This window comes from Homo sapiens, chromosome 3, assembly GCF_000001405.40.
Source record: "Homo sapiens chromosome 3, GRCh38.p14 Primary Assembly".
NCBI classification, from domain to species: Eukaryota; Metazoa; Chordata; class Mammalia; order Primates; family Hominidae; genus Homo; species Homo sapiens.
In genome coordinates this window covers 16,226,011-16,238,757 of record NC_000003.12, presented here as the reverse complement: position 1 = coordinate 16,238,757, position 12,747 = coordinate 16,226,011, and the positions used below count along the sequence as shown (strand labels likewise).

The following is a 12,747-nucleotide window of genomic DNA, read 5'->3' as shown; positions in this document are numbered from 1 at the left end:
GTTTTATTTTCTTTACTCACAAATACTGGGAGGCAATCAAATGTGGAAGTTAAATGTGAAGGCCTTGGAACCAAATGAAACTGGGTTTGTGATCTAGGTCCATCACTTTGGAAGTTGCATAGCCTTAGGAAAATTACTCTGCCTGTGGAAACCTCACCCTTCAACTATAAAATGAGATAATATAAAACGGAGATAATAGTAGTCCTTACATCATTGGCCTATTGTGATTATAAGAAAAAATAACTTGAGTACAACAACTATTGCAATGTTGTTACAATATTAACAACAATATTAATATTAATGTTGTTAATATTGTAACAACATTACAATAGTAATAGTACATAGTACTAACAATGGTAATGTTATTACTATTATCATAGTAATAGTATGTGCTAGTAAGTTAGTACAGCCTTAGCACTATGGTTGTTGTTATTACTATGATTTCTGGCAGTGAATACATATGTTTGGTCACAGAGATATTACTGTCTAATGATGTCCACATTTTTCTCTAGTTGATTTTTCTCCCAACTCTTGAAATGTCATTTTTCTATATCCTAACTCCTGGTTTTTTCTCCTCCATACTGGAATCCACGAAGTCAAGCAACCAACTCCATGGTAACTGCTAAGAGGAAAATAAGGAAGTGTAGACCATGGCTCTTTGCTAAAAGAAGCCTATAACTTATTCTGGAAGATAATTCTGCAGAGCCGTACTGAATAACAGTGTAGGGAAAAGAGCCACCTTAAAGCAACACATATCACTTGTCCATCTGGATCCCACCTGCAAGGCTAGCGTCATCTGGATAGAGAGATTAGGTGAGGAGGTAGCAGATAGGTAGGTGGGGGATCCTGAATACCTGACAAGCTGAGGGGTGAGGCCATTGCGTAAACCAGTCTGTGAGGGGATATTATAGCCAGGGTCAGGGAGCGGGAACCTCAAGGAGACAGTGGTGGCTCCACCATCAGACAAACCAACCCACTACCTAGACCCAGGTGCCAGGGCCTCCCAAGGAGAGTGGTCAAGGATATGCTCAAAGAGTTGACTGGAGACTCTCAAAGAGTTACATTCCTTTACATATGACCCACACTGGGGAGTGGTGGGGGAACAGGACTTTATCTCTAAGATAAAAGTCAATAGGCCTCAACTGTGGCTTCCACCTGGGTACTCAGATCTGCACAGCTGCCTGTCCCTTGTGCATGGTGAAGGCTCACTAGACGATAATAGCTGGGGTCAGCAGCACGGCCAGTAGAGCAACAGAATGCAAAGTAGATGTAGGGCTGGAGAGCTTGGAACTGTCCATGAGTGTGAGGAGGGTGAGGTGCCTCAGGCCATTTGTTTTATCTGGAACCAGCCTTGGATATGCCAATACTGACATGTGAAGGGGCATGATGGGCTGGACAGCCCTAAGCATGGATCATAACAGGCAGGAGGCACCCTAGGCTTGGCTGTTAAACAGGTTTTATGAGCTTGTATTGGCTTCAGAGCACAAGGAGTAAGGTTTGTTGGCCTGGTATAGCCCTGGCCTCAAGGCTTGCTTTTGGAAGTCCCTTTCCTTGGCTTGACTTCTACCATTTGTGTTTTGAAGTCTGGCTAAATTGAACGCCAGAGATCAGAGTTTATATAAATAACCAGAGGTTATTGCTTTTGTCCTACACCAGAGCTTGTGTCTGATTGTCCTTACATCCCAAACACAAAAGATTTGTGTGTTAGCGGGAGCGTGTGCTTTGCCCTTTGTGAATGTCTTCACCACAGTAAGATAAAAACTAGAGTGTTAAACTGTATCTCTTGGCACAGTTTAATCACTTTGGCTTGGCTAAGATACTGAGAGTTACTCTGTGCTTCTGAGGAGCCCTCCCTTCCATGTTCATGTTCTTATTGCAGCTGTGGTCTCATTAAGAAAGCTCGTTTGCTCAACCTCTGTTAACAGTGAAGGCCCCTGGAATCTTTATGTCCCCCAAAGAAAGAAGACTGTGGACTACAGTGTCAATGTTTTATTATTTGATTTTTAAAAATAATTTGCTTATTCCTACTTTTTTATAAAAAGGACTGGAGTGTGCTCATAATGAGAACATATGCTATACACTGTTTCCCTCTTTTTTTGTTATTTTTTGCTGTTCTGTTATGTATAACAGAGAAACACTTTATTTTTATATTTTTAAAGCTCATTCACTATTTCGCTGGTAATATTTCTCTGTTTATTTTTAAGTAATCTGTAATTTGTCTCCTACAGTTGAGTCAAATACTGTAGTCCAGGGGGTGGCAAACTATGGCTGTTGGCCAAATCTGGCCAACCACCTGTGTTTGTAAATAAAGTTTTATTGGAATACAGCCATGGTCATTTGTTGATTATTGTCCATGGCTCGGCTCCTTTTGTACCACAATGGCAGAGTCAAGTAGTTAACAGAGTTAACAGAGTCTGCAAAAAAAGAGGGAAACAGTGTATAGCACTTTCCTATCTAGCCCTTTACAGAAAAGGTTTGCTAACCCCACTCTAGTTCATAGTCTAACATAATTTTGAAATATCCTGATTGGCACTCTTTGGTGGTATGTGGCAACAATCTGTATTAATTCTTCTCCATACCACTGTTACTCTGGCCTTTGAGTTCTAATTCCACTGATGCCCAGTCCTTTTTTTTTTTTTTTTTTTTTTTTTTTGAGACATAGTCTTGCTCTGTTGCCCATGCTGGAGTGCAGTGGTGTGATCTCGGCTCACTCCAACCTCCGCCTCCCTGGTTCAAGTGATTCTCCTGCCTCAGCCTCCCGAGTAGATGGGATTACAGGCACCCGCCACCATGCCCAGCTAATTTTTGTATTTTTAGTAGGGGCAGGGTTTCACCATTTTGTCCAGTCTGGTCTCGAACTCCTGACCTCAAGTGATCTGCCTGCCTTGGCCTCCCAAAGTGCTGGGATTACAGGCATGAGCCACCACACCTGACCTGAATGCCTAGTCTTACTGGTATCTATCCTACCCGGCAAGGCTGCTCTTTTCCTCTTTGTCCTGTCCAGGGACTTATCCCTGTTCCTTGATTTCCATCCCCAACATACTACGAAAGTCATTATGGAAGTCTTAACTAAAAGTCTGGGGTGATGGAAATAAGGCAAATAACTTTATATTGAGGACTAGACACCTAATCCTAAAATTTCTCTGGTAAGTCACTCCTGCCCTCACTAGAGATACCTTCTTGATCATCTCACTCTTTATGTCTTTATCAAATTGTTTGAATCCATCGCTTCCTCAATACTCATATCTGAATCTCCCTCGCTTTATCATGGAGAGCAATCATGCACTTCACTCCTAACTTCTATGGTATACTTCTATATCCTCTAACACTGGTATGTATCAGTTATAGGAAAATAACTGAAATATGAGGGGGAACATTTTTTGTGAGGCCGGAGGAACCTTGCTTCATCAGGCTTCAGGTTTCTTCAAGAAGGGGCATCAATTAGTGGAACACTCATGGCCTCTCTCCACTCCATATTCACTTTTCCCCAGGGAGGAAGGATGTCTAATGTTATAATAAGATTGGGGTAAGGACCGGCCAGGCACGGTGGCTCACACCTGTAATCCCAGCACTTTGGGAGGCCAAGGCAGGTGGATCATGAGGTCAGGAGATCGAGACCATCCTGGCTAAAATGTTGAAACCCTGTCTTTACTAAAAATACCAAAAAATTAGCCAGGCATGGTGGCAGGTGCCTGTAGTCCCAACTACTTGGGAGGCTGAGGCAGGATAATGGTGTGAACCCAGGAGGCAGAGCTTGCAGTGAGCTGGGATCGCACCACTGCACTCCAGCCTGGGCAACGGAGTGAGACTCCAACAAAAAAAAAAAAAAAAAAAGATTGGGATAAGGACCAACTATCTTGCCCCTCCCCCAGACTCTTTTCTTTTGGGCACAGCTGCCTAGAAGCCCATACTGTGGCCTTGCAGTTTGTAGGATAAGTTCAACTCAGGGGAATGGGGTTATCTTGTGCATGGGTTGAGACTACTGGTGAAACAAAGCTTAAACTGTGATAAGAAAGATAACTCTTAGAGATGCAAGCTTTTGTTGGGACAAGCCATGTGTGTTTGGGTGGGTTTCCCCATTAGGAGACATAGAGATAAGGATTTGTGTGCAAGTGGTTTACTTGGAAGATGAGCCCAGGAAACACTAGTAAGGAAGTGGAGAAGGGAATGTAGCCAGTTAAAGATGCATTATCAAGCCAGCTACCACTGTGGGTGACTAGAGCTTAATCCCATGGTACACTGTGGGGAATGGTGTAGAACATGCACCTCAGAGCTATCCCATGGGAGAGGTGAGGGAGCTGAGGTATTTATACACCAACTCCTGTCAGTCATCAATTGAGGACTGCTTCTGGGGAATGTGACTTCCAAGGCTTTTCTGGCCTTCCCCACATCATAAAGCAGTCTTCTTTGGCTTTCGCGGAAGAAAAAAAAAAAGAAACCCAGGTGAAGAAATGCAGATAACTGACAGTTGGAACTTTTTTTCAGAGAAAGCTAAAGCTATAAGACCAGAGGGATATGGGTGGGGCCAGAACACTCAGTGTCACTACTATAGCCTCTGGTGTTAGAGGATAAATTTGGTATCTCTTTCTTAGTTATGCATGCTTTAACTTTACTGCAGGACTTAAGGATTAAGACAATCAAATCTTGGGCTTTGGCAGGATTTGTTTTCCAATCACCTAATTTCATGTTTAGCTATTAGATGTGGCTGTTTTCAGAGGCTACAAGTCCTGGCCCATCTCCAGGGAGTCCCCTATACTTGCCTCTATGAAAATCCACTGTATAGGGTAATCTGCCTGCCAGAACCCCAGCTGCCTCCTCAAGATGAGGGCCATATTCCCATCAGTATTGGCAGCACTCTCAGTATCCCTGTTATTCCAAATCCATATTAAATGGCATTTCCTTACCCCCACACTATGGATTCCCTCAGGAGAAGCGCTGCCACTGAGAAGAGCTGAAAATCTGAGCTATTAATTTATTTGCTCAGTGTTCTAAAAATCCTTTGGAGAAATTGATGCTGTTCACTCCATCAAGATTAGTCAGTTGAAACTGGTGGCAGAAGGGCATGGAGGCCCAGATAGAGGAAAAGTAAGAGTGGAATAAAAATTACCACAAAAACCTGGTGCTGGAAAAGCAGGTTTGCTCAAAGATGAGAAGTAGAGGAAAGTTGGGGAAAGATAAAGAAAGTGAGGGAGGGACGACATGACCACAGACAAATAGCAAGAACAACAAAAAAAGGTTAAAAAACTTCCCTGGTCAAAAAAGCAGAACTAGTGGACAGAATGGGAAAGAGGAAGAATGCTGAGGGAAAAGAAGAAAATGAATTAACAACGGTTGTTATTACATTGAACAGGATACATTATCCTGGCTGGGCGTGGTGGCTCACGCCTGTAATCCTAACACTTTGGGAGGCTGAGGTGGGTGGATCACCTGAGGTCAGGAGTTCAAGACCAGACTGGCCAACATGGTGAAACCCCATCGCCACTAAAAATACAAAAATTAGCCAGGCGTGGTGATGCACGCCTGTGATCCCAGCTTCTTGGGAGGCTGAGGCAGAGAATCGCTTGAACCCAGGAGGTGGAGTTTGCAGTGAATCAAGATCGTGCCACTGCACTCCAGCCTGGGTGACACAGCCAGACTCCGTTTCAAAAAAAAAAAAAAAAAAAGATGCATTATCCTGTAAGACATAGGATCAAATCATCTTACCATGTGGCTTCAAAAAGAGATCCGTTAGAAGCAAAAAACAGTCCAAGAACTCATCCAGTGAGGATTTTCTGAGCTCTAAGTAACAATTTGGAAAAACCCAGAAAACTACTGGAATCGTTGCTACTCAGACAGTGGTCTCTGGCCAGCAGCATCAGCATTGCCTAGGAGCTTGCAGGAATGTAGAATCTCACGCCCCACACAGACCTACCAAATCAGAATCTGCACTTTAACATGGTCCCCACGTGATTTGTGAGCACAGGAAAATTTGAGGAGCACTGAATTAAACAAAATCATTTCCGGTTGTCTCACACACTCCAGGGACAGGGATCTATCAAGGCCTGGGGAACAAACTGGAGCCAGCGGATCAAATACTATCAAGGTGCTCTGTCCCACCTTTGCCTCTGCTCTTTTTATATTTGTTTCCACCCCCACAGCTGTCTCTGATTCACTCTCCAGACTGGATTTATCTACCTCATAGGACCATATACAGAAAACAAGGCTGCTGAGAGCTCAACATTCTCACATTATGTCTCTTTTAAATAAATATATATATATATATATATATATATATATATATATATATATTTATTTATTTATTTATTTTGAGGCCAGGCTATGAGACTGGCTAATTTTTGTTTTGGTTTTGTTTTTTGTAGAGATAGGGTCTTACTATGTTGCTCAGCCTGATCTCAAACTCCTGGGCTCAAGCGATCCTCCTGTCTTGGCCTCCCAAAGTGCTGGGATTAAAGGCGTGAGCCAACATGCCCAACCTCACATTATCTCTTAAGTCACTGGTAGAGAGACTGATTTCTTAGTCTCAGTAACAAAATTACTGAGGAATGTGCTGATTGGCCCAACATGGGTCAGATGTTCAGCTGGGAGGAGGGGCCATCTTATGGTGGGAACAAGGCAGCTCCCACTATAGCCATATGGTTTGGGTTGGAGAATTTTGGAGAGTTTTGGAGAATTTTGGATAATCTAATGAGGTGCTCACCTTTCACCCTCTCTGAACAGTTTCTGCATTGGTGCATCTGGGCAAGTTATGACTTTAAAGATAGCAGCTCCAGTTTTTCTGGATTTTATTTAAATAAGACATTAAACAATGCCACCCTTGATCTGTGCCTAGAGGAGAGTGATCGGCAGTGCCTTCTTGAGGATCTCTGAATGAAGCAAATGATGTCCTACCCATTGTTCACAATCTGCTGAAAAGTTAAAGGCCTTTGATAAGCTTCAGCAGCAGCAGAGTTGGCCCTGTTCTCATCCTGAGAGAGAAGGAGAGAGGGAGGGAGAGAGAGAGGAAGGACTGTATCATTTTAGCATTTGTCATAGGTACTGGAATGTCCATTGACTATGAGCTAGCTGAACAGTTTGGGAATTGTTAGGGAACTTTAATTTTCAAACATTAATCTGGTCTCTTTGGACTGAGCTTATAAACTATCACCCTAGGGGTAAAGTCATCATGGTGATTCTGATGATTCTTTTTTTAAGCCAAACCATCAGGCAAGCTGTTTATATGTCGTGATAACTTAGTGTATTGGTATTACGTAGAGCCTTCAGTGATGAAAAAATATAAACATCCCATACCCGTGGAAAGAACTACTACTCCAGCAAAGATCCTCATAATATTAAAACAATGCTTAGGACATATGGCCATGTCCAAAGAGCACATTTCATGTAAGAAGGAGTTGGAACTGGAAAGAAGATTTGAGATTGGAGGGACTATTATTATTTATTTTACTTTAAGTTCTAGAATACATGTGCAGAACGTGCAGGTTTGTTACATAGGAATACATGTGCCATGGTCCTTTGCTGCACCTATCAACCTGTCAACCCATCATCTAGGTTTTAAGCCCTGCATGCATTAGGTATTTGTCCTGATGCTCTCCCTTCCCTTGCCCCCCACCCCCCACCCCTCAACAGGCCCTGGTGTGATGTTCCCCTCCCTATGTCCATGTGTTCTCATTGTCCAATTCCCATGTATGAGTGAGAACATGTGGTGTTTGGTTTTCTGTTCCTGTGTTAGTTTGCTGAGAATGATGGTTTCCAGCTTCATCCATGTCCCTGCAAAGGACATGAACTCATTCTTTTTTATGGCTGCATAGTATTCCATGGTGTATATGTGCCACATTTTCTTTATCCAATGGAGGGACTATTATTAATACAGGAATGGTAGAGGGGTCTAGAATTCTGGAAATAGCACCTCCTTGGTTATTGTGCTTGACATATCATTTGAAATATGCCCAAATCAAGGTATTTGAATAATCGAGGCAGGACTTGTAGGTGCTTTGGGCTTTGCCCAAAAGTGATCACAGACAATTTGCACTTTTAAAAGAACTTCGAAAGAACAACATAAATAGTGTGCATAATAAGTAGAGTTGTGCCCAGCAAGGCAGCCTGTATCAATGTTTTGCACAATGTTTGCACAACTCTACATATTATGTACACTATCCTTGTTTTTTTCTTTTCTTTTTTTTTGAATGCTTTTTAAAAATGCAACTTGTTTGCATTTTGTTTGTCCAAATTTGGTGACTGGTCACAGATCACTTGGTGTCCAACTGGCTTTTTCATAGCCTTTCAGTAGAGAATAGAACCCCCTCACATTAAGCACAATAACATGACCTCTAAAATGTCAAGTTCTGCTGCAGTGGTGCCATCATTATTGTCACTGAGGACTTTTCAACCACCATGTCTTTGTTAGTTGGAATTCTGAATTTTCCAGTGGGATCTATGGCATTAAAACCAAAGAGGAAACAGGTCAGGCACTCTCCAGGAAGGATATCTGCTCTTACTGTTGTAATACAGCATGAAGAGTGTGGGACTCTAGACTGCTGGCCGGACACTTCTCTCTGTTCTCCCCAGTGGTATAGTTAATAATGATGATGAACTTGGTGGGGGTGGTAACAAAATTCAATCTTAAAAAACGAACAACAAAATCCAATCACAAAATTCAGGTAGACAAGTGAAACCAATCTCTTGGGAATCAGATCTCTCAACTGACAAGTTTCTCTACTTTTAAATTGATCATTATGGATAAAATGAATGCTGAGTTCATAGAGAAGAAGGGAATTTGAACACTTGGTTACACTAAAGGAGAAGGTCCTTCTAGAACTAAATGGAGGCATCTGTTTTACTTAAATTAAGGGTCTGTAAATACCAGCCAGGGACTGAGTTGACAGCCACTTCTGCAATAAAGTAATAAATCATGGAGCTGGTTAAGGAAGCAAGAAACACCATATTCTTGCTTTGTTCACCCAATTAGGCAATAAGCCATCTGGGTCCTTTTGTTAATTGCCACCTAATACAATTTATGCAATTAAATTCAGTCTTTTATTTAATTATATTAATTTATCCCAGCAACTTCAAAGACCCACAATGCCAATGATAAAGTTCAGTTAAAAAACAGAGGTCTTGAAAAATTTTTTTTCTTCAGCCGCTAATACCATTTACACGGTCGCCATCTGAGAATTTGTAGCTCCGTCTCAGTCTCAGGATTTAGGGAAATTTGTTTTAAATATAGATGGGTCTGAAGCAAGAAGACAGTGACTAAAGTCTCTTCTCTAGATGGGATAATGAATCTATCTAGATTGGTCCAACAGAACTGTGATGAAATGTTCTATATCCATGCTCGCCAATACAGTAGAAGTAGACCCTAGCCACAGGTGGGTAGTGAGCATTTGAAATGTGGCCAGCCCAATTGAGGAATTGAGTTTTAAATTTTCTTTGATTTTAATGGATTTCCATCAAAATGGCCACATTTTGTTAGTGGCTACCATATTAGACAGCACAGGTCCAGAGTGTATTCTGAGGAAGGAGAAATGCAGTGAACCCTTGACTTAGCAGGTAGACAATGAATACGTAGTTATGATAGGTATTGTTTGGAAACACTGCACTTCCCACTCAGTTTTTCTTATTTGAAGGATACTGTGTTCTGAGACAGCCCAAAGGAGATTAGCATCTTTAGGGGAAGATTTCTAAGCTGACCATGTGGAAAGGTAGGTAACTCCATCTGGGGAAAAATGAATATGAATGCTGTTTATTAAATAGCAGAACCCATCCCATTCGGCAACTCTTACAGCTAATTCAGGTAAGCCAAGTCATAGCAAGGAAAGTCATTTAGCTCTTACTAGCCTCAGCTGTGCTCCAGATGAGCCGTGTTCTTCCCACACTCATGGACATTCAACCTGTGGACACATTTGGGGGTTCCAGACAGTTATATGGGCTCAGAGATGGCCCTGTCAGCTCTCATGGACATTAACACCCAAATGTTACCTGTCATAAGAATTTTGGCTCAGGCTCTGGCATTTTCCTCCCAGGAAAAAGGTTTGCTTTTTTAGAAAGGTTGCTGTTTCTGCTCCAGTCAGTGCAAACCCTGTAACAGGGCATCAGGAGAGTTTCTCTCTTTTTTTTTTTTTTTGAGATGGAGTCTCACTCTGTCACCCAGGTTGGAGTGCAATGGCATGATCTCAGCTCACTGCAACCTCTGCCTCCTGGGTTCAAGCGATTCTCTTGCCTCAGCCTCCCAAGTAGCTGGGATTACAGGTATGCGCCACCATGCCCAGCTAATTTTTGTATTTTTAGTAGAGACAAGGTTTTGCAATGTTGACCAGGCTGGTCTCAAACCCCTGACATCAGGTGATCCTCCCAACTCTGCCTCCCAAAGTGCTGGAATTACAGGCATGAGCCACCGCGCCCGGCAGGAGAGTTTCTCAACTGTGAACACCTTTGTTAATGGGAATGCTCAAATTGTGCTGGTACTTCTAACACCAACGACTAAAGAGAAATCGATTGCAAGGGAATCTGGTTATGGTTATGGTTAACCAAGTTAGAGAAGAGCTAGGGCAGGGGGAATAGAGGTAGATTCTCAGTAGGAAGGAAATTCTCTACAATGGTGGAAATTCTCATTAACATGAAAATGTCTTTTCCTAGATCTCTTGAAGCTTTTCAGCTGCTGGGTTGAGCTGGAGAATTGGGCCAAAGTGCTCTTGCATCTTCTCTGCAATCCTAAACCTCCTTTCTGTAGCTCCCTTTCCTTCTTCTGAGATATGGCTCAACAAATGAACACAACATTTGTGCTAATAAACCCAATTCAGAGTTTTTGGAATGTCAGGCCATTACATCTGCTTCACTCTTTAATTTTCATGGTTGGCCAAACAGACAATCCAAGTTAAGGCCATTTGAAGACAAATAAATTGATCCATTGAATTTATGTATCCTGGAGGTGCTGCCAGAGAATGTCCAGGCCAGAGAGAAAGCAATTGTTAAGTGCTCAGTGGAGAAAAACAAAGAATCTTCTGTACTATGTAATAATCATTTCCCAGTGATGAAGACAACGGTACAATGGATCCTTTTTTTTTTTTTTTAAAGCAGCCAGCAGTCAATGAAATAAGGTGTGAAAAGGAGAAACTTCCTATATTCTTTCATAGAGCTTTTTTCTCTCCTAACACCAGGAGCACACACACAAAAGGATCAGCTTCATGAAATATATAAGCTCTTTAAGTTCACTTGGAGCTGGATTTTGATGGCCAAAATTCTCTTTTCCTTCTGACATTGACATTCATCGTTCATCCACAGCATTGATCTGGTCAAAACGCCACTGCTGGCGGGCTTTTCCATCACACGGACGCAGGTACAAATCTTTATTGTTTTCTTGCACCACAGCTTCCATGCATTTCCCAGAAAGAATGTGGACAATCATCCCATTCTAAAAAGAGAAAGGAAAAAAGAAAAGAAAACCAGTCCCCCACAATCAGTCAGCAAAAGAAAATATTTTTAAGATTTGTGCTAATCATTAAGAGAATAACAGATGGTGTGAACTGGCCTGGAAAGGAATTGTGGTATTTTGATCAACATAAAATATAAATTAGGTAGCCCTAAAATTTGGATGTCACTCAAAACCTTAGGGGTAACTAATCCAATTATCTTTATTGTAGTTGTGTAATTGCACCATTTCTTAGAAAGTTATGGTTAGTATAATTCCCAGAGCATGTTCAGTCTTTATGCTGTATTTGTGACATTCATTGTTATCACTGTAGTTGTAAATTTCTGCTTTCAAAACGATTTAATCCACTTTACCTTCTGTTAATCCTGCAGTTGGGCACTGTTGTTACCAGGCTGTGGTAGTGAGCAAGACCTCTAGGATATACTGAAGGGCTAAACCAGCCATGTTCAGAAGACCATGGCTATTCCCTGCTCAAAACCACCAGATTTAATATTGACTCCAATCTTCTCCTTTTCAAGAAAAATTTAATTACTTTATGAAAAGTTGAACAACCTTAACCAGCAATGCTGAAAATGCCTATTTATTCATCATTCATTTATTAATGTTTGAGATTGATATGGTTTGGTTCTGTGTCCCCACTGAAATCTCATGTTGAATTGTAATTCCCAGTGTTGGAAGAGGGGCCTGGTGGGAGGTGATTGAATCATGGGGCAGACTTCCCCCTTGCTGTTTTCTTGATAGAGTTCTCACAAGATTGGTTGTTTGGAAGTGTGTAGCACCTCCTCCTTCGCTCTCTCTCTCCCTTGCTCCGCCATGTAAGGACGGGGCTTGCTTCCTCTTCGCCTTCTGCCATGATTGTAAGTTTCCTGAGGCCTCCTCAGCCATGCTTCCTGTGCAGCCTGCAGAACTGTGAGTCAATTAAACCTCTTTTTTTTTCATAAACTACCCAGTCTCAGGTATGTCTTTATAGCAGTGTGAGAACAGACTAGTATAGAGATCATAATACTACCCCTTTAAAGTACACAAGTTGGTGGTTTTTAGTATATTCACAAAGTTGTGCAACCTTCACTCCTACCTACTTCCAGAATATTTTCATTACGTAAAAAGAAACCCACTGTCCATCAGCAGTCACTCCCCATTCCTCCCTCCTCCCAGAAACTAATCATTAATCTACTTTCTATATTTATGGATTTTCCTATTCTGGACATTTTGTATAAATGGAACTATATAAATGTGGCCTTTTGAAACTGGCTTCTTTCACTTTGTGTAATTTTTTTTTTTTTTTCCAAGAAGGAGTCTTGCTCTGTCACCCAGGCGGGAGTACA

General features: G+C 41.8%; 1 protein-coding gene across 4 annotated transcripts in view; it reads right to left on the bottom strand.

Annotated features, from left to right (window-relative positions):
* The window catches only part of GALNT15 (polypeptide N-acetylgalactosaminyltransferase 15), a 73,545-nt gene that overhangs the window by 9,467 nt on the left and 51,331 nt on the right, over window positions 1–12,747 (bottom strand). For 2 of the 4 annotated variants that reach the window (NM_054110.5, NM_001319052.2), the window contains one exon: window positions 8,593–11,404. The exons of 1 other annotated variant lie outside the window; for it this stretch is intronic. In NM_054110.5, coding sequence (NP_473451.3) covers window positions 11,258–11,404 — 147 coding nt within the window. In that variant the 3' untranslated portion in view covers window positions 8,593–11,257. Of the gene's footprint in view, window positions 1–6,765; window positions 6,966–8,592; window positions 11,405–12,747 lie in introns of those variants that run through there. One more of the 4 variants, NM_001319051.2, reaches the window with a different exon arrangement.